This window comes from Homo sapiens, chromosome 9 (genome assembly GCF_000001405.40).
Source record: "Homo sapiens chromosome 9, GRCh38.p14 Primary Assembly".
In the NCBI taxonomy this organism is placed as follows: Eukaryota; Metazoa; Chordata; class Mammalia; order Primates; family Hominidae; genus Homo; species Homo sapiens.
Genome location: NC_000009.12, coordinates 108,985,635 through 109,007,712, shown reverse-complemented (window position 1 = coordinate 109,007,712; position 22,078 = coordinate 108,985,635). Strand labels below are relative to the sequence as shown.

At 39.7% G+C, this 22,078-nt stretch overlaps 1 protein-coding gene, 1 long non-coding RNA gene and 1 pseudogene across 7 annotated transcripts in view; 2 read left to right on the top strand and 1 right to left on the bottom strand.

Moving 5' to 3' along the window:
• CTNNAL1 (catenin alpha like 1) overlaps positions 1-22,078 on the top strand; it is a 70,923-nt gene that overhangs the window by 5,787 nt on the left and 43,058 nt on the right. For 4 of the 5 annotated variants that reach the window (XR_007061368.1, XM_005252291.5, NM_003798.4 and 1 more), the window contains exons 2-4: positions 8,457-8,646; positions 14,894-15,081; positions 16,868-16,987. Coding sequence is in view for 4 of the 5 variants with exons in the window: in XM_005252291.5 (XP_005252348.1) it covers positions 8,457-8,646; positions 14,894-15,081; positions 16,868-16,987 (498 nt within the window). In the remaining variant the exon portion in view is untranslated. The remainder of the gene's footprint in view (positions 1-8,456; positions 8,647-14,893; positions 15,082-16,867; positions 16,988-22,078) is intronic. The other variant, XM_017015250.3, reaches the window with a different exon arrangement.
• On the bottom strand, positions 907-21,962 carry LOC105376216 (uncharacterized). 2 transcript variants are annotated; one of them, XR_007061724.1, is made up of 7 exons: positions 21,718-21,962; positions 15,763-15,876; positions 15,090-15,304; positions 5,895-6,143; positions 3,865-4,030; positions 3,531-3,617; positions 907-1,233 (listed from the first exon to the last, which is right to left on the bottom strand). It is a non-coding gene; the product is annotated as an uncharacterized LOC105376216 (long non-coding RNA). The 2 variants fall into 2 exon arrangements; XR_007061725.1 differs by lacking the exons at positions 15,090-15,304; positions 15,763-15,876; positions 21,718-21,962 and adding an exon at positions 12,722-12,805.
• RNA5-8SP3 (RNA, 5.8S ribosomal pseudogene 3) lies at positions 15,144-15,304 on the top strand (annotated as a pseudogene).

Genomic DNA, 22,078 nt, shown 5'->3' with positions numbered 1-22,078 from the left:
CACATATATGTTATATATACTCATATGTTTTATATTTTATAATTCAGACATTTTCTTGAAAAGCCCTGGGCTAAGAACCAAGCATATTTTATGTAGAGTACCTCCCCACCTCCTTTAATAATCACTTTATTCTTCCTGTCAGAACTCCCACTCCAAGTCTTATAATGCTTTTATCCAAGGAAGGGAAGAAGGATATCTGCCACAGAACTCCACCCTGGTGTGGAATATTATTCTACTGCCCACTAGTCTTTTCCTGTCTATGATAGATTTCCTTTATTCACTATTTGTACAGACCCCTTAAATTTCTAAGGTAGCCTACCTCATTTTCCCATTACTCTCTGCATTGTTCTGGAAGCTTTTCAGGATTCTTGTTGCAGTTATGTTGTCGATGAAGAGAGTAGATAAGGCGCCCTCTCTGCTCTTTGCTGATTTGTGTATGTGAATACATGCGTGTTTTTTTTTCTTTTTTTTCTTTTTTGTGATGGAGTCTCGCTCTGTCACCCAGGCTGGAGTGCAATGGCGGGATCTCGGCTCACTGCAACCTCCACCTCCTGGGTTCAAGCAATTCCCCCACCTCTGCCTCCCAAGTAGTTGGGATTACAGGCACCCAGGCACCTTACATCAAGCCCGGCTAATTTTTTGTTTGTTTGTTTTTTTGTAGAGATGGAGTTTCACCATGTTGGCCAGGCTGGTCTTGAACTCCTGACCTCAGGTGATCCACCAGCCTTGGCCTCCCAAAGTGCTGGGATTACAGGTGTGATCTGCCACGCCTGGCTGATGGGTACAATTATTATTTCCATTTTCACAGGTGAGAACACAGAGTCACAGAAAGGTCAGATAGCTTGCCACATGGTCACATGGCAGAGCCAGAATTCAAAACCAGGCAGAATGATGTCCATGCCCTTAACTGCTGGGATATTCTTTGGTGTTTTGCACTTCTTGACACCCTTTGTTAGAAGCTATCAAGTAAACCCTAATTCTTATTCTTTTATTCCACAGCAGAGTTCTTTAGTACACCAGATCTTCTTTCTTCCCCAAGGGATGCCTTTTCTGCCCTCTTCTCTGGTTCATTTAGGTGTTCTCTAGACTCTGGTGTCAGGGCAACTCCAAGTTATGACTCTCAATTTAATATCATTCCTATTTTTGCAGAACTATAGTTAAGATTGTATTTGGCATATTATGATTTACAAAGCACTCTTGCTAGTTGTCTTTTCCTTGATCCTTAACATAATCCTGGAAGGTAAGAGAGACGGTGTAGTGATTAAGAGTGTAGGTAGCTCCCCTGGCTTTGTGACCTCGGGCAAATACTTAACTTCTTCAAATTTCAGATTTTGTATCTGTAAAATTAGGGTAATAATAGTATGTACCTATTAGATGCTGGAGAAGCAAGCATTAAAAGAATTGATACATGTAAAACACATAGGCTAGTGCCTGGTACTGTTGTGCTTAACAAATGTTAGCTAGTCTTATTTTTTATATGATAAGGAAAGTGAAGTTTAATCTCAATTTTGTAAAACTGTGTATTTAAGTATCTATATGTACAAAACAAGACTGGAAAGAATTATGCCAGAATTCTCAGAGGTTAGTAGGATTATGGGTAATTTTTATTTCTTGAGGCTCTCCTATATTTTCCATTTCTGTTTATAAACAATAAACATGTATAACTTTTGAACCTACCTTTTAAAACATTTGAAACTAATTTTAGAATATAAGTAGACCTTAAATAAAGAATGTTACATATTGACTTAGTTCCTCTAAATAAAATTTTAAAGGCATACTATATTTGGATTGAACATTTCCTAGACTGCTTTCCAGTGAAAGGAAGGCAGCCACACCTAATTATGCACTGGGGAAGGCGCTTCTAGTGAAAGCAAAATGTGTCTTTTGGAACGGAACAATAGTTCATATTTTGGCTTAATTGCAGGATCTTTTCTTTGTAATTGAAATTTTAAAACTTTATGTAAATGAAATATTTAATAAACAGAATCACCTTAATCTGTTCGGATTGCTATAAAAAATAGACTGGGTGCCTTAAACAACAGAAATTTATGCCTCACAGTTATGTAGGCTGGGTAGTCTAGGATCAGGGTTCAGGCAGATTCAGTATCCAGTGAGGGTCCACATTCTGGTTCATGGACAGCTGTCTTCTCACTGTTCTCTCAGGGTGGAAATGAGTGAGAGAGCTTTCTGAGGCCTCTTTTAAAAGGCATTAATCCCATTCATGAGAGCTCCTCCCCCATGAACTAATCGTCTCCCAAAGGCCCCACCTCCTAATACCATCACATTGGGGGTTAGGATTTTAACATAAGGATTTGTGGAGGGGGAGTGGGAGGGGGAATGGGACACAAACATTCAATCTATAGCAAGAACTTAAACTCCTTTCCACTGCAGTCTCTTCCAAGATGGTAGCTTGGAATAGTCAATGCTGAGCAAGTTCTCTTTTTTTTTTCATGTGATAGTAACAATTCCCTAGAGTCTGTCAGGTGTGGAAAAGGATTAAGCTGGTGCCAGTAGGATTTGTTCTGTGCTTCCCAGCAGCATGGCCCACAGTCATTCTCCAAATTAAAATTATCGTGACTCTTTCACATGATTATGTAATGAGCTTTTAGGTAACATTTCAATTAAAAAAAATAGGAAAGATTGTAAACCTCCAGTAAAAGAAGGACTATTAGGTGGGATTTGGTGTCAGTTTAAACCTGGGTTCAAATTCTAAACTAGGCTACTTATTAGTTGTATGAGCCAAGTATGCAATTTTACTCAGCCTCAGTTTTTTAATCTTTAATAATACCTGAGGATTAAGTAAGATAGCTAATTATAGTATGTCTTTGAACACTTACAATAAACTGTTTATGGTACTATGTTAAACATAATGCTTTCATTATTTTATTAACTCTTCTTATTTATTTATTTATTTATTTATTTTTTTCAAGACAGAGTCTCGCTCTGTCACCCGGGCTGGAGTGCAATGCCATGATTTCAGCTCACTGCAACCTCTGCCTCCCAGGTTCAAGCAATTCTCCTGCCTCAGCCTCCTGAGTAGCTGGGATTATAGGTGCACACCACCATGCCCGGCTAATTTTTGTACTTCTAGTAGAGATGGGATTTCACCATGTTGGCCAAGCTGGTCTCAAATTCCTGACCTCGTGATCCGCCCACCTTGGCCTCCCAAAGTGCTGGGATTACAAGTGTGAGCCACTGCGCCCAGCCAACTCTTCTTACTAACATTATAAGTCAGAGAAGGCAATATGGCTAAGTGGCTAAGAGGCTAGTCTCTGCAGTCAGAATATCTGGATTTAAATCCTAACTCTCCCATACTTCTTGATGTCCAACTTCCTCATTTGTAAAATAGGGATGATTATTACCCCCATTTTCCAATTTGGGGAAATGAGGATGATTAATATTAACCTATTTCACTGGATTGTTGTACGACATTATAGGGTAATGTTTAGGAGTACGGTCTCTAGAATTGAAATGTCTGACTCTGAATCCTAACTCTAGCACTTATTAGCTGTGTGACCTTAAATAAGCACCTTTGAGCATCAGTTTCCTTAGGCTCATGATGTGAGCCTTCCCACTTGGCCGGTGAAGTGTCTTCATGACATGGGAATTGTCTTTCCCTAGGGTGAACCGAGAGAAAGAAAGATGAAAACCACAGTGACTTTATGACTTGCCCTCAAAAGTAGCATACTGTCACTACTGTTTTATTCTATTAGTTAGAAATAAGTAGCTAAGTTCAGCCTGTACTCAAGGAGAGGGGAATGAGACTTCACCTATTTAAGGGAGGAATAGCAAATAATTTGTGGACATATTTTAGAACTACCTACAGTCTAACCTCTGCACACAAATTGTTTACCTTATTCTCACCTGCAAGTAACCTCTTCCCATCCATATCCTCTCCAAAGTCACAACATCAGCTGGAAATCCATGATGTTGGCATCTATTACAAATATGATCCAGGAGAGACTTCTTGTATGTAGTAGTTCCTTAAGTGTAACGTCTTTCAGCTTTAGGATGACTACTATAGACTCTTCTGTTCAAAAAATGAGAAAATAGAAAGTATAGAATAACTGCTATACAGTCCTGTTCAAAAATGGAAAAAAAATAGGAGCCACTGGTTTATGGTATTCTGAACTCCTCCTGGGCAAATGTTGCCAGTTCCTTGATTAAGACTCAAGTCCTGGGAATAGTTCATGGCTCTTGATTCTGCCCTCTAAGTCATTATTTTACATGAATTGTAGCTCATGTTTGCAGCTGCGTAGATTTCTCAGCCTGTTCCCTGCTTATGGAAGTTTGGAGCAGGGGCTGGTATGAAAGCTTCTTTTCATACAAAGATGTATTCCCTTTTAGTCCAAGCTGATAGTGTTTCTGCCAATACGATTATCTTAAAAATTTTGTTGGTCTCCTGTGAGTCATATTGAATTCATTCTACTAGACAAAAGCCCACACCCACAAGTCTCTTTGATATATGCTCTTCTTTAACTTGGGCTTCTCCTGGGACTGCTGAGGAATAATATCTTTAGGCTTCTTGGGAGATCTGTTGTTTACCTGAATGGTTGTCTGAAGCAACACCTTGGACCTTTCTGAGATCTTAAGATTTTATAGTCGTACCCTTAGCTTCATCTTTAGATGCTTTCTTGACACAGCCCTAGATTTTATTTTTGCCTGGAAGCCATTGTTAATTTTAGTATGATGTGCCATCTGGAGAAGATTTTTTTTTTTGAGATGGAGTTTTGCTCTTGTTGCCCAGGCTGGAGTGCAATGGCACGATCTTGGCTTACTGCAATCTCTACCTCCCAGATTCAAGCGATTCTCTTGCCTCAGCCTCTCGAGAAGCTGGGATTACAGCCATGCACCACCATACCTGGCTAACTTTTTTCTTTTTTTTTTTTTTAGTGGAGATGGGGTTTCTCCATGTTGGTCAGGCTGGTCTCGAACTCCCAACCTCAGGTGATCTGCCTGCCTCGGCCTCCCAAAGTGCTGATGATTATAGGCGTAAGCCACCATGCACGGCATGGAGAAGGAATTTTTAAAACCAGCAAGTTCTGGCTTGTTTTTATTTATCCGTGTTTCTTTTAATTTTTCTCTTCTCTTACATTTTACTGTAAGCAGCAAAAAGAAACCAGGTAGCACCTTCAAAATCTGCTTTGACGTCTCCTTAGTTAGATCTCCCAGTTCATCGGTATATATTCTCCCTTTCATGTTAATGAGGGTGACTTTCTGTCACCACATAACAAGGAACCCCTTTTCTCCAGTTTCCGGTAAGATTTTTCTCACTTTTCCTTAAGCTTTTACCCGTCGCTTCTGCTATGGCCTGATTGTTGGCATTCCCCCAAAATTTATATGTTGGAACTTAATCCTCATAATGATGGTATTAAGAGTTGGGGCCTTTGGGAGGTGATTAGGTCACAAGGGAGCCTTCATGAATGGGATCAGTGTTCTTATAAAAGAGGCTTCAGGGAGCCTTGTGAGGACACAGAAGACACCACTTGTGAGGAATGGGTCCTTAGTAGACACCAAATCTGTTGGTGCCTTGATCCTGGACTTCCCAGCCTCCAGAACTGTAAGCAGGACATTTCTGTTATTTATAAATTACTCAGTTTAAGGTATTTTGTTATAGGAGCCCTAACTAAGACAGCTTCCTCAAAGGTCATCATGCTTTTGCAAAGTTTCTTTGACGTTTCTAGTTTTTATTCGCTCGAAGTTCTTTCAATTTTCACTGCCCGATTTTACAGCCACTCTCACATTTTAAGTTTTGTTACAGCCTCACCCCAGATCCAGGCACCAAAATCTGTATTAGTTATCTATTGATGCAGAACAATTTAACTGAAATTTAGTGCATTAAAACAACAAACATTATCTTATGGTTTCTGTGGGTTAATTCTAGAGTGGCTTACCTGGTGGTTCAGGAGTGAGGTCTCTCATAAAATCAAAATAAAGATGATTGACCAAGCCTGCAGTAATCCAAAGGCTTGACTGGGGCTGGAGAATCTGCTCTCAAGTTCACTCACTCAGCTGTTGACATGAAGCCTCAGTTCTTCACTATCTTTTGGCCAGAACCTTCAGTTACCTTGTGGGACTCTCCATAGGGTTGCTTGAGTGCCTTCCATTATGTGGCAGTTGGCTTGCTCCCACTGTGATTGATCCTGCAGAGAGTGAGTGAGTGAGTAAGATGAAAGTCACTATGTGTTCTATGACCTACTCTTAGAAGCACTCCATTATTTTCACTTTATTCCATTTATTAGAAGTGAGTCACCAAGTCCAGTCCACACTCATGTGGAGAGAAATGAGGCTCTCCCTCTTGAGGGGAGAATTTGTGGACATGTTTTAAAACCACTACAGAGATTATATCACTTTCCTGCTTAAAAAACCTTCAGTGATTTCAAACCACTGCGGAGATTATATCACTTTCCTGTTTAAAAAACCCTTCAATGGCTTCAAATTACTACAGAGTTTATAGTATTTTCTAGTTTAAAGACCCTTAAGTATCTTCCTGTAATACATAGAATAAAATATAAGTTCTTTTTTTTTTTTTTTTTTTTTGGAGATGGAGTCTCATACTGTCACCCGGGCTGGAGTGCAGTGGTGCAATCTCGGCTCACTGCAACACCCACCTCCTGGGTTCAAGCAATTCTCCTGCCTCAGCCTCCCAAGTAGCTGGGATTACAGGCATGTGCCACCACACCCGGCTAATTTTTTTTTTTTTTTTGTATTTTTAGTACAGATGGGGTTTCACTATGTTGGCCAGGCTGGTCTTGAACTCCTGACCTTGTGATCCGCCTGCCTCTGCCTCCCAAAGTGCTGGGATTACAGGCATGAGCCACCGCACCCAGCCAATATAAATTCTTCATTCCAATTCCAGAACCCTATATTCCACGCTGGTCCCTGCCCATCCCATCTCTTGGATATTGGTTTTAACTTGCCCCCGACCCACTATCCTTTAGCCACTTCCGACTTCACCTCATTCCTTGAACAGGAGAGGCTCATTCCTAAGGGCTTTTTTTTTTTTTTTCCTCCACTGTTTCTTCTCCTAGAATGCTCTTTATCCTTTGATGTTTGCTGGTCTGACTGCTTTGCTATCATTTAGATCTCAGCTTAAATATCGCTTTGTCTTAGAAGGAAGACCAGTCAATTTCAGGTAGCTACACAGATACTTTATATCACACTATCCTAACATTTTGTACATAACAGTTATATTAAAGTTTATTTTTTGTTTACCTATTTATGTGATTATTAGTTCTCCCCCACTCCTTCACTAGAATGTAAGCCCCATGGGAACGTGGGCTTTTCTTTCTTGTTGATTGTTATTTCAGGTTTGCCTAGAATTTTATTTGGGATATGATAGTGTGCAACAAATATATTTTGTGTAACTGAATTATTGCTATTCTACCATACTGTAAACCTAATGGTGGTGGGATTGTCTTAGTCTCATTCACTGATACATCCTTAGGAACTGGCATATAGTAGATATTCAAAATTTGATGAAAAGCAATATTGTAGTTGAGGAAATTTAGATATTAAATTTCCCTAGACCACTTAGCAAGTAATCGCCGAGCCAAGACTTAAACCTAGGTCTATTAATTCTAAAATATTAATACCTAAACATACATATAAAGTGCTTGGCACATAGTAGTTGTACAAAGAGTAGAAGTGATTCTCTTCCCCTTCTTGTAATTCTCTTCCCCTTCTTTTAATACTAGTACATGTACATTGAGCAATAGTTGGGAATCTATGTTTTTCATACAACATTTCTTTAATAAATATTCTTAGATGTCAGCATAGTTCATGTACTAGTTCCCTAAGATATTTTGAAGAATTATGTTTGTTTCAGTGAGCTGAAGTTGTCACCTTTTGTATTTTATTTCAGGGCCTGGGATCAAGTGTTAAAACTCTCGGTATTTCGTTTATTTTGAGTCGGATGCAACAAAACTTAGCAAAATGTGAAATATAGATTACAATGCTCATTCTAAAGTATCTAGTTAATTTGGTAAACATGTATGGCACAAGTACTATTTTGTACAGCCTGTGCTCCATGGTAGGCAACGGAGTGGAATGGAGAGGAAGAAGAGCTGTTTCTACTCTCATAGCATCTGAAGTCGTAGTAGAGGAAACTAGACCTGAAGTACTTTGGCTTTCTGAATGTAATGATCTATCCGCTTCTACTTTTCTCCTTAAGATTTGTTGAAAGATCTGGAGGGCCTCTGGAACTGTATGCCCCAGATAAACTGCATGCCCCAGATAACTGCCCTCAGGTGAACTTGGAGTTGTAATTAATGGAAACATTGTCTTAAGGAATGATGCAGGATACTTTGCTGGTTGTCTCTGTTGAAGCATCTCTAACTATTGATTTAGTCTATTGAGCTATACAGTATGCCAGGCTTCATTTTCTTTGACTTTGTGATACAGCTTAAAAAAGAAAAGGTATTGAGATAAAAGTTGCTTTTATCTTTTATTTTTAGATCACCACGCTTATTAATCATAAAGATAATACCAAAAAGTCTGATAAAACTCTGCAAGCAATTCAGCGTGTAGGACAAGCTGTCAACTTGGCAGTTGGAAGATTTGTTAAAGTAGGAGAAGCTATAGCCAATGAAAACTGGGATTTGAAAGAAGAAATAAATATTGCTTGTATTGAAGCTAAACAAGCAGGTAGGTGGATATTGATTTTGAAGACTATTCATACCACTTTTATTGCTTTGGTTATGATGAAAAATTATTGATTTATTTGGAATAAAGATATACAGCTCTTTGATTATGTCTGCCTCAGACATTAAAGGCCTGGATTAGCTTCCGCGAATACTGCACTTGGCTTGGATCAAGTCCTAAATCTGAAACATAGGACTCCTTCACTGGTCAGAGTTAGTGATCGGCCATCCTCATCAGCCATTGAGATGTGAGAGAGATAGAGAAGTGGGAGCTGTGGCCTCTATTCTCTAAGAACATATTAGTCTACTTTCCATGACATAGGAAATGGAAATAAGCATTAGTATCCATTAGTATTCTACAGCAAACAAATCATAGTGACTTCAAACTTCATGATGGTTCACAGTTCTCTATAGATGGTAGCACAGAAGCCTTTGAGAACCTAGAGTGTTTTGAGGACTGCAGCTTTGTTGAAGTATCATTTATCCATTAATTTTTTCAATAAATATTCACTGAATGCTGGTGATATACCAGGCATTCTTTTAGGCCATAGGGAGATAGGCATGGACAAATCAGTCCAAAATCTGCCATCTTGGGCCTTGCATTCTGCTGAGGGAGACAGATCATAAATGAATATATATGTAATGTCAGGTGGTGATCGTTACCATGTAAAAAAAAAAAAAAGCAAGGTAAGAGTTAGGAGAACAATGAAGGTGCTGTTTTAGAGAGGGCAGGGTTTTTTAACTTTGGTGCTACTGACATCTTGGGTTGGATACTTCTCTGTTGTGGGAGGTTGACCTGTACATTGTAGGATGTTTATCAGCATCACTAGCTTCTACCTACTAGATGCTGGAAGGTCCCCTCTCCTTCCATGGGACAACCAGAAATAGCTCTAGACATTGCCAAATGTCCCGTGAGGGGTAAAAATGGCCCCCAGTTGAGAACTCCTGGGATAGGGAATTAGGAAGACCTGCTAAGGAAGGAACATTACAGCAGAGACTGCAATGGAATGAAGGCCTGAGCTATGTGGATACTTGGGGGAATTTTGGACTATGTTCTAAGTGGAATGAGGGATTAGTGGGAGATTTTGTGCTGGGCAGTGACATGTTCTCATTTGTATTTTTAAAAGGGTAACTGGTGGCTCCTGTATAGAAAATACATTTTAGGGGGTGTGAGGATGAATTCAGAGAAACCAGTTAGGAGGTTGTCACAGTGGTCCAGGTGATAGATGATGGTGACTTAGACTAGACCATAGCATTTGAGGTGGTGAAAGGTGGCTTTGTTTCAATATATTGCCAGGGTGGAGCTGATAGGATTGGCTGATGGTTTGGATGTGATAGAAGAGCCAGGGATAACTCCAAGATTTGGGATATGAACAGCTAGGCAAATGGTGGTGCCATCTACTGAGATGAGGAACTCTGAGGGAGGAGCAGGTCATCAGCAGGAGGAGAGTGATTGCGATAAAACCAAGTAAATGTAGAGGGGTGGACAAGATCATACACGGTCCTGTATGTTATGTGGATGATTTCAACTATTATTCCATACTAGGAGTCATTGAGAAATTTTGAGCCAGATGAAAGACATATTGTTTTGTGTTATTTTGTTTTGTTTTGTTTTTTCAAAACAAGAACATTTCACAGATCTTTTATGTTAGATAGAAGTCTTTCTGATGGTGTGGAGGAAGTGAACGAATGAGGACAGCCTGAGAGAAGGTTGAGACTGAAGGCAGGGAGATTAATAGGGAAGCTTTTGTGGTAAAACCAGCTAGGCCAAGTCAGTGTAATAGGGCTGTAAAGAGCAGGAAGAGTGCACAAAATACTCATTAAGGTGGTTGAATAGGTAAAAGTAGATTGTTAACTAAAGGAAAGGGAAGACCCTGGGTTGACTTTTGGATTTCTAGCCATTCACTGGGACAGAGAATAGGTTTTATGTGGGAAGCAGGGGGGGATATCCTTATTCTATTCATAATTTATATTTTTCCTACTTTAGAAAAGGATGTGAAAGCACTTACAATAAAAGACATGTTCAATAAACTTATTAAAATAGGATGTGAAAATAAATAAACCAGAAACTTTGGCAAACATTATTATTTTAATTAAGCATGAAATTTATCTTTGTACTTCCTGGAAGGCAAGACAAAATGTGGGAAACAAAGGGTTATATAATCTCATTGTTTGTTGAAAGGAAGCAAACCAGCTTGTAAGAGGAGAGACTTTTTTTCCTGACACTAAATTATTGTGTGGGTGCTTATGAAACAGACATTACATAATGGACAATTCAACAGAAAATGTAGAGATGGTCTTCATATTACTGTTTCATTTTGCAAGAAAGCTTTGTGGTTAAAAAAAAAAAGAAATAAAAAAATGACTGTTTCTTCTAACAACCGTTGATTAAAGCAGGAGTACAGTATTTTTAAACAAAAGGACAACCTGAGTCCTGTGCTCCTTGTTGGCTTTGTAGCATGTCATTGTGCCCAGTGTAAGGTGAGAGAGGAGGACGTGGTACACTGACATGAGTACCATACGCCCAGGCAGCTCCATAAACGGAGTATTTTGGAAGCTGTCAGGTTTCATGGGCTCCACATGTCATCTTCCTCCTAGTGTCACTCAGGTAAGAGTATGAGAATGATGCCTTCTGGAGTTGTAAAATATAGAAGCCTTTTTTTCTCTTAACACATACAAATTTAAGACTTCATTAAATCACTCCTGTAATGTTTCTAGCCCACTCAACCCCTACGAATCATTTTCTTTGTTTGTCAACAGTGTTCATTTGAGGGAACTAATATAAAGTAGTAGATAAAAAACTGGAGCTGGCTGGGTGCAGTTGCTCACACCTGTAATCCCAACACTTGGAGGCCAAGGCGGGTGGATCGCTTGAGCTGTGTTTGAGACCAACCTGGGCAACATAATGAGTCCCTGTCTCTACAAAACATAAGAAAAAAAAATAGCCAGGTGTGGTGGTGCGTGCCTCCAGTCCCAGCTACTTGGGAGGCTGAGATGGGAGGATTTTTTGAGCCCAAGGAGGTTGAGGTTGCAGTGAGCAGTGATGGTGCCACTGCACTCCAGCCTGGGAGATGACAGAGAGAGACCCTGTCTCAAAAAAAAAAACACTAAAGTCTTAGGGTCAGATTGCCTAGACTTTAATCCTAGTGCTTCTACTTGCAAGCAGGGTATATTGGGCAATCTATTAAACATTTCTAAACCTCAGTGTTCTCATCTATAAAATGAGACTGTTAGGGTTTATAGAGGTGTTTTGATATAATGCATCTATCATTTCACACATAGTAAGTGCTCAATAAATATTAGTTGTTATTATTATAATTAATTTTTATTCTTACTTCCCTGTGTTGAACTCTTACATTGTATTGTTGCTTTTTACTTGGCTACCAGGCAAGGTTTATATTTATGTTTTATATGGAAGTTCAACAAATATTTGTGTTTGATTGACCTTGGGTTTTCCTATTAAGGCACAGCACTAGTAATGACATATAATAAATTAAAAATGATACCTGTGAAGCTGTAAGACAGCTTTGTTACTTTTTTAGGGAACTGATTTCTGAACAGTTTACACTTTGAACAACTTTATAATGTTAAGAAAGCATTTGCCCATGTTGGTGGAGCCAACCAAATGTTACTGTCCCACGTACTTATGAGTTAAATGCCTGGGGTCTAGTCAGAAAAAGGAAAGGTTGAATAATGCCATATGTGCAGGCTTATATGTCGTATCCTTTGTGGTTGAGAGGTGTAGAAAAAAATTAACATTTTCCAGAGGATCAGAGGAAACATTTTTATCCTTTTAGCTATTAATGATAGGATGCAAACTGATACTTTTCCTCCTGCCCTTTCTGTATGCCTTAAGGTTAATTCTAAGCACTTTTGTTCTCTGTTCTTTGCTATGAAAACTCTGTATTAGCTACCTATTTCTGTGTAACAAATTAACCCAAACTTAGCAACTTAAAACCACAAACATTTACTATGTCAGTTTTTGAGAGGGCACCAATCAGGGAGTGGCTTCACTGGGTGGCTCAGGGTCAGTGTGTCTCATGAGGTAGCGGTCAGTGTGTTGACCAGGCCTCTGTTACCTGGAAGCTTGAGTGCACTGCAGGTCTGCTTCCAGCCTCCCTCTCATGGTTGTTGGCAGGCTTCACTTCCTTGCTGGCTGTTGGCTGGAGGCCTCACTTCCTCTCCACGTAGTTATCTGTGTAGTAAGGGCTGCTTATGACATGGCAACTGGCTTCTCTCAGAGAGAGAGAGCAACCCAGACAGCTGCCTCAGTTATTTTAGAACCTAAGCTTGGGAGTGACATACCACCACTTCCACCATACCAACCCTGGTATGATGTGGGAGGGGACAGACAGCACAAGGTTGTCAATAACAGTAGGTGGGGATCATGGGGAGCGATCTTGAAGGCTGGCTACCACAGAATTCCTCTATCTGTAGAGCTTCAGCTATTGTCATTATACACAAGACATCCAAGTCTGCATTACCAGTCCATGTCTTGCGACTTATCTTTGGTGTATTCCTGTGTTATTTCAAACTCCTGTTGTCTGACAGTAAAATTATCATCTCTCTTCCAATGCCCTTCGATTTTCTTTAAGCAACTTAGGTTTACAACTTTGAGGCCATTTTTTTACTCGTTCTTTCCTTCTTATCATTGGTCAGGTACTAATTTTGTGTTTTCTTAATGTTTCCCAAATCATCTTCTTAATGTTCCTATGGCTACTATACTAGTAAGGTCCCTACTATTTCACACCCACAATTGATACAATAGCCTGGCTCTAAGTCTTTCCTTTCCATTCTATTTTATGTACTCCTACTAGACTGATCTTTCTTTTTTTTTTTTGAGACCAAGTCTCACTCTGTCACCCAGGCTGAAGTGCAGTGGCGCCATCTCAGCTGACTGCAACCTCCGCTTCCCAGGTCCAAGCGATTCTCTGCCTCAGCCTCCTGAGTAGCTGGGATTACAGGCCCCTGCCACCACACCTGGCTAATTTTTGTATTTTTTTAGTAGAGACCGAGTTTCGCCATGTTGGCCAGGCTTGTCTTGAACTCCTGACCTCAGGTGATCCACCCGCCTCGGCCTCCTAAAGTGCTAGGATTACAGGTGTGAGCCACTGTGCCTGCCAGACTGATCTTTCCAAACCTTGACTTATACTTCACCCTGTGGCCTCTCCATTAAGATTCCAGTACTTTTTACTCAAGATCCTTAGCCTATGAGCTGACACATTATTGTGTGTATGTAATAGAATTGACAGGAGGGCTTTTGTAAGAAAATCAATCCATTAGGCACACAGGTATATTTAGGACTTTAAAAAATGATCTTGAACACTATAAGTTGGTTAAAGGTTTATTATTTTAAAAATCTTTTTAACAGTATGGAGGTTTGAAGAATATTGTAGCCTTGTATTATAATACAAGAATACTTGGATTGTTTTATTAGTAGATAATTACCATTACAGAAATCAAAAGTTTTGATAGCAACAGTGAAGAAGATAATTTTTCTAGAGGGTTGGGAGTTCAATTAATAGAATGGTTTATGCTGGGCATCATAAGAAGTTTATATAAATTCAAACTGTAGCCTAAATGAGGGCCAGCCTGTGGTTTGAATTCTCAGGAGGGAGGCTTTTGTTTTGTTTACTTTCCCCACCCAAAGTCCAGGCTGACTGACAGACAAACTTCCTTATTGTTTCTTTTTGCCTATTGACAGTTCTTTCCGGGCCCCCATTATATTGAAGATGTCATCCCTTGGGGCCTAAAGCCCTGTCTTTTTTCTCTCTCTGAGGATCCGTGAAAACCCAAGGGTGAAAACCCAAGGCCGTTCAGCTTGTGGAGATTGGCAGTGACCCCTGACTTCTCCCCGGCCTCGCCCCAGCCCAAGCCTTGGCACCTGCTTACTGCTCGGGTTTTAGGGTATTCTTTGGTTTTTGACTCATGGGATTTCTCTTACTGTCTTGTAGGGCAGGAGGCTTTTAGATTGTGTAGTTTGCATTACCACTGGAAACAAAAATTATGATGTTTTTCAAACTGGGTGAGGGCAAAATTTGTCACAGTTCTTAAGAGTGTGCTATTATTTTCTGGTTAGAAAGCTTCGTATGATAATCCCTACAATCGTCAAGGTGAAACCGTTTCTTGTTCCTGAAGTAAGACTCCAAAGCTGAGTTTCTCCTCATTGTGCCTTACCTTCAAGGTTAGAGAGAAGTCTAGATTTTAATTTGTATGCCTGTTTAACTTTCTCCCCTCGTCTTTCTTGTTAGGAGAAACAATTGCAGCACTTACAGACATAACCAACTTGAACCATCTGGAATCTGATGGGCAGATCACAATTTTTACAGACAAAACAGGAGTGATAAAGGCTGCAAGATTACTTCTTTCTTCAGTGACAAAAGTGTTGTTGCTGGCAGACCGAGTAGTCATTAAACAGATAATAACATCAAGAAATAAGGTACTTACCTTTCTGATGTTGCTGTATTTTTGTCTTTCTGTGTTGTTCAAAGTGCTTTTTATGACTCTTAGTGGTGGATTGCTTGGCTTGTGTGTCGATGAAGAATGCAGCTAGCTGTGGGAATTAATGTGCAATGCAGGATACATTGACACACTGATCATCTGTACGTTGAATGCACTTGTGGCCCTGGGTTCCTCCCGGGGCTATGCATGTCTGAGCGTTGCTTAAAAAAAAAAAAAAAGAAAAGTTCTTTTTAGGTTAATTGTAAGTAATTTGGCAATGCTTGTCTATTATAATTGTTTATAACTCTGTCTGTAGTTTAAAAGTAGTGTTTCTTCTATATGTGCAATTCTTAAATGATGGGTATGCTGTGCCTAAACTTTTGAATGCAAGTAATGTCTCCTCTTAGAGAATCATTATCCACTTGTTAAGGCTTATTGGTAAAAGCTTTAAATGTGTACAACATTTGGAAAGAAAAGGTGAGCACTATGATAATGTATGTAGCAGAAACCTAGTTGATAAAAATACTGAATTCTTCTGTACTTTTTTTCCCTCCCAAATCAGAGACTAACAATATATAACTTAAGACACAGTTAAATCAGTGGAAATGATAATTATCCACAACTACAAAATTTCTGTACTCAGAGTCCCTAAATGTTACTGAATAATCTCAAAACTTACAGAACAGATTTAAACTCTTCCAGTCCAGAAGTTAATCTCTCAGATGATGGTCATGCTCCATGATCATCTGGGAATCCAGGGTATGTACGATCACTTCTTGCTTTGGATAATTCCCTAGGCAAAGAGGAGAGCAGTTGGCCAGGGAAGGAGTTGTCCTAGAGGATTTGAGGATAAAACCACTTGATAAGTGTTGAATGAATCAGAAATTGGAGAGGTGGATCTGGCAGCGCTGGAGAAATACAAACAACCTTCCCCTCTTTGAAAGATGGAGGTTCTCACAGTGGTGGCAACGTGCCTTATCAGTGTTAGTCGCCTGAACTTCCTGAGCTGCCAGGGCAGATTAACATGCCAAATATTCATCATATTCTCAGGAAAAATAAGTAAACAGAGGATATCTGTGTTTTTTTTTAACTTATCTTGTTGCGACTAAAACAATCTAATAATGTTATTTTAAAGAAAAGTATTTGAAAATATGTTTCACATCTATTTACTTTGTTTCTTACATCAAGAAAACACATAACATTTTAGTCACTGGCTCTACCAGATTCACACACTCTTTATTCACCCCTGATGGCCCATTCCTGACTGAGCCAGACTAATTTTCCCACCCTTAAAGTCCCACACTTCCCTTTCGACTCTATACTCTGAAGATGATGAGGTTCCTTCTGCTTTCCTGAGAATGTTAGGGTTCCTATCATCCTGGTTCACTGAACCTTAAAGCTTGTGTGTGCTGACTTTCATCCTCACCCCTTCCCAGTTCTCTGAAGATTTGATTACTGTGGTCCTGCCCATTCCCACCTTTTAGACTTGGCTACATAAATGATCCCTTCCTTTGTATATGTAGTCATTTCTTTTATTCTTTTTCCTTTTCCTTTTCAAGTAACTCAAAATCTCATCATATAAACAAATCATTCCCCTAATAATTCTGTGCCTTGAATCTACTTCTACTTCTCTGAGCATCCCCTTGTGTGTCTTCTATCTGGCTCCTCCTCCTCAGCTTTCACCTAGAATTCAGAATTTTCCTTTTCTTCTCTCTACTCAGCCTTGACAATCTCAGTCTCTTGAGTAGCTCTCACCAAATAATGAATTATTATCTGTTTTGCAGGTTCTCGCAACTATGGAAAGACTAGAGAAAGTGAATAGCTTTCAAGAGTTTGTCCAAATATTCAGTCAATTTGGAAATGAAATGGTGGAGTTTGCACATCTGAGTGGAGATAGACAAAATGTATGTATTCATCACATTTTACAATCTTCAGATAAATACATACTTTTTAGTTTGGATGGAGGTATGATCGTTAGGATTGTTTGGACTGGTTTCTTTGCTTATTAAGTCTATAGCCTTGGTCTTGAAAGCCTTTCATAGATAAGCCAGGATAAAGTAAGTAGATCTATATGTCTTTTTTTGTACATTTATAACAGTTAATTTTGTTCCCACCTCACACACTGGGAAAGGTCATACTTGCTATCAGGGCTCAACTCAAGTACTTCTTCCTTTTATTTGGTTACTTTCTCTTTTATGAAGCTTTCCATTTGATTCCTCTACTAGGGCTCAGGCACATAAAATTGAGTCATCATATGTATTCTTATAGTATCTTGTTAGATATTTGTTATTCTTACCGTATTAGATTAATAGTAATAACCCAAGCCATTATTTATTTGCACTGCCTATGTGTTAGGTACTTAATATACATGATCTCATTTAATTTTCAAAACATCCCTATGAGGTAGGTATTGTTAACTACTGTTTTACATATAGGGAAACTGAACCTGAGACAAGGATAAACTTTCCCAAGGTCACTGTGCTAGCAGATCGAACTCAGTTATATCTGATTCTAAAGTCTGTAGTTCTCAAACTACAACATGATATTTGTTTTTTATTTTATTTTATTTTATTTTTTCTGAGATGGAGTCTCTCTCTGTCACCCAGGCTGGAGTGCAGTGTCGTGATCACGGCTCACTGCAACCTCCACCTCCTGGGTTCAAGTGATTCTCATGCCTCAGCCTCCCGAGTAGCTGGGACTACAGGCATGCACCACCACGCCCAGCTAACTTTTTGTATTTTTAGTAGAGACAGGGTTTCACCATGTTGGCCAGGCTGGTCTCGAACTCCTAATCTCAGGTGATCCGCCCGCCTCAGCCTCCCAAAGTGCTGGGATTACAGGCGTGAATCACCGTGCCCAGCCAATATTAGTTCCTTATGGGTCTGTTCCCCAATTCAGACAGTAAGCTCCTCAGTTTTGGGAGATGGAAGATCATATTATGTCTAGGATTGACTTTTCCTTGTTGGGGTATTTGTGTAGGAGTCTGTCTTGTTGGCAGGTTAAATATATATAATAATTGACCATTTCTTGGGATGGTTCTGGGTGTAGTCCCATAGGCTAGTCTCTCAGTTTTTGATATGAACTTTCCCAATTGCAGCTGGAGTTGAAAAATGGGTATTGGTCTGGCAAGTGGCAGGCTAAATAATGGCATTGGTTTGTAATACCAATGGTGTTTCTATAGGCAGGTACTTTATTGTTTCATTTTCTGTCTGCCATTATTGTTCTTTATAAAACAAATTTTCTTTCTTTTCCTTCTCTTTCTCTTAATCTTCCTTCTTCTCCTCATTCTCCCCAATGATAATTATTAGCCTGAGTATTTTTATAATAATAGTAGCTTATAATCTAGCATTTTCTTGATCACTTGAGCAAGCGTGGCATGAGTCATAGGTTCTAAAGCTACCATCCTTCAGTTACACTTCCTACAGGATCCTCTTCAGCTTCTGGACATAACTGAAAAACTTTCACCATCATTTTGATTTGTAGTTAGAAATTTGGCATGGAGAACATTTTATTTTTCTCAATTCTTGTAATATTGTGATCCAACATTTAAAAACTTCTGGCTGAAGTGGTATCTATTTTTAGCAATTTAGCTCATTAAATGTGGGACCCCTGAAACTTACTGGCAGCCTTTTTATCATCTGTGTTTGATAAGTGCTACTCCTGGGTCACTTTTTTGGAATATGCATCCAGGGTTCAAATGCTTTCTCCTTTAGAATAGTCAAAATATCCTGCAAAGAGCTATAGGTCAGGTGCATTCTCAGTTTTCTCAGCAAATATTCATCAGCTGCTTACTGTTAACCAAATACTACACTAGGTGTTGAGGATTCAACAGTAAATAAAAGTGACAAAAACCTCTGCACTCATGGAGCTTATGTTTTAGTAGGGGTGGGAGGAGATAGACAATAAAACAGAAACATGCATGGTGTGTTCAAAGAACACGAAGGCCAATGGATGGATCAAAGTGAGCAAACGGGAAGGGTAATAAGATGAAATCAGAGAGGTAGTGGGCAGGCCAAACTGTGTAAGGACTTTGGCTTTAAGTAAAATGGGGAGCCATTGGAGGTTTTGAGTAGGAGAATGACGTTTTCTGACTTACATTTTAACAGTATCACTCTAGCTGCCATGTTGAGAATAGTTTGCATGGAGACAAGGGCAGAGGCAGGGAGACCACTCAAGAGGCTATTACAGTAATCTATTGAGAGATGATGGTGACCTGGACCAAGGTGGTAGAAAGTGGCAGTGGTGAGGCTGGGCATGGTGGCTCATGCCTGTAATCCCAGCACTTTGGGAGGCTGAGGTGGGTGGATCACCTGAGGTCAGGAGTTTGAGACCAGCCTGGCCAACATGATGAAACCCCATCTCTTCTAAAAATACAGAAATTAGCTGAGTGTGGTGGCATGTGCCTGTAATCCCAGCTACTCAGGAGGCTGAGGCACAAGAATTACTTGAACCTGGGAAGCAGAGGCTGCAGTGAGCTGAGATCACGCCACTGCGCTCCAGCCTGGGCAAGGGAGGGAGACTGTCTCAAAAGGAAAAGAAAGTGGCAGTGGTGACTCCTATTCAACATAGTGTTGGAAGTTCTGGCCAGGGCAATTAGGCAGGAGAAGGAAATAAAGGGTGTTCAATTAGGAAAAGAGGAAGTCAAATTGTCCCTGTTTGCAGATGACATGATTGTATATCTAGAAAACCCCACTGTCTCAGCCCAAAATCTCCTTAAGCTGATAAGCAACTTCAGCAAAGCCTCAGGATACAAAATCAATGTGCAAAAATCACAAGCATTCTTATACACCAATAACAGACAAACAGAGAGCCAAATCATGAGTGAACTCCCATTCACAATTGCTTCAAAGAGAATAAAATACTTAGGAATCCAACTACAAGGGACGTGAAGGACCTCTTCAAGGAGAACTACAAACCACTGCTCAATGAAATAAAAGAGGATACAAACAAATGGAAGAACATTCCATGCTCATGGGTAGGAAGAATCAATATCTTGAAAATGGCCATACTGCCCAAGGTAATTTATAGATTCAATGCCATCCCCATCAAGCTACCAATGACTTTCTTCACAGAATTGGAAAAAACTACTTTAAAGTTCATATGGAACCAAAAAAGAGCCCGCATTGCCAAGTCAATCCTAAGCCAAAAGAACAAAGCTGGAGGCATCACAATACCTGACTTCAAACTATACTACAAGGCTACAGTAACCAAAACAGTATGGTACTGGTGCCAAAACAGAGATATAGATCAATGGAACAGAACAGAGCCCTCAGAAATAATGCTGCATATCTACAACTATCTGATCTTTGACAAACCTGAGAAAAACAAGCAATGGGGAAAGGATTCCCTATTTAATAAATGGTGCTGGGAAAACTGGCTAGCCATATGTAGAAAGCTGAAACTGGATCCCTTCCTTACACCTTATACAAAAATTAATTCAAGACGGATTAAAGACTTAAACGTTAGACCTAAAACCATAAAAACCCTAGAAGAAAACCTAGGCATTACCGTTCAGGACATAGGCATGGGCAAGGACTTCATGTCTAAAACACCAAAAGCAATGGCAACAAAAGCCAACATTGACAAATGGGATCTAATTAAACTAAAGAGCTTCTGCACAGCAAAAGAAACTACCATCACAGTGAACAGGCAACCTACAAATTGGGAGAAAATTTTCGCAACCTACTCATCTGACAAAGGGCTAATATACAGAATCTACAATGAACTCAAACAAATTTACAAGAAAAAAACAAACAACCCCATCAAAAAGTGGGCAAAGGATATGAACAGACACTTCTCAAAAGAAGACATTTATGCAGCCAAAAGACACATGAAAAAATGCTTATCATCACTGGCCATCAGAGAAATGCAAATCAAAACCACAATGAGATACCATCTCACACCAGTTAGAATGGCAATCATTAAAAAGTCAGGAAACAACAGGTGCTGGAGAGGATGTGGAGAAATAGGAGCACTTTTACACTGTTGGTGGGACTGTAAACTAGTTCAACCATTGTGGAAGTCAGTGTGGCGATTCCTCAGGGATCTAGAACTAGAAATACCATTTGACCCAGCCATCCCATTACTGGGTATATACCCAAACGACTATAAATCATGCTGCTGTAAAGACACATGCACACGTATGTTTATTGTGGCACTATTCACAATAGCAAAGACTTGGAACCAACCCAAATGTCCAACAATGATAGACTGGATTAAGAAAATGTGGCACATATACACCATGGAATACTATGCAGCCATAAAAAATGATGAGTTCATGTCCTTTGTAGGGACATGGATGAAATTGGAAATCATCATTCTCAGTAAACTATCGCAAGGACAAAAAACCAAACACTGCATGTTCTCACTCATAGATGGGAATTGAACAATGAGAACACATGGACACAGGAAGGGGAATATCACACTCTGGGGACTGTTGTGGGGTGCGGGGAGGGGGGAGGGATAGCATTAGGAGATATACCTAATGCTAAATGACGAGTTAATGGGTGCAGCACACCAGCATGGCACATGTATACATATGTAACTAACATGCACATTGTGCACATGTACCCTAAAACTTAAAGTATAATAATAATTAAAAAAAAAAAGAAAGTGGCAGTAGTGACAGCCTTACCCAAGTCTGGGAAAATACTTCTGGAGGTATTGGGATGCTTCGCTTAGTGCTTCATGGACCATCTGGGTTTTATGGACGCCTCTGTTTTGTCCTGTGGACCAGCCCTTTCCAGGTTGAGATGCCATCTTTTTCTGTCGCTTGTTATCACCATACAGCCTATGGTGTCATATGTGGCTTGTAAGTGTCAGGTATGGCATACACACTTGATGCATTGTCAGCTAGACCCACAGGTGGTTTTGAAAGGAGTCCTGTCCAAAATGTTAAAGACAAGAGGAATGGGTGGAAATTTTATAAGCAACCTCAGCCTTTATCTGATAGGTACCCATGATGGATGATACTCACATATAGGACACAGTTCTTT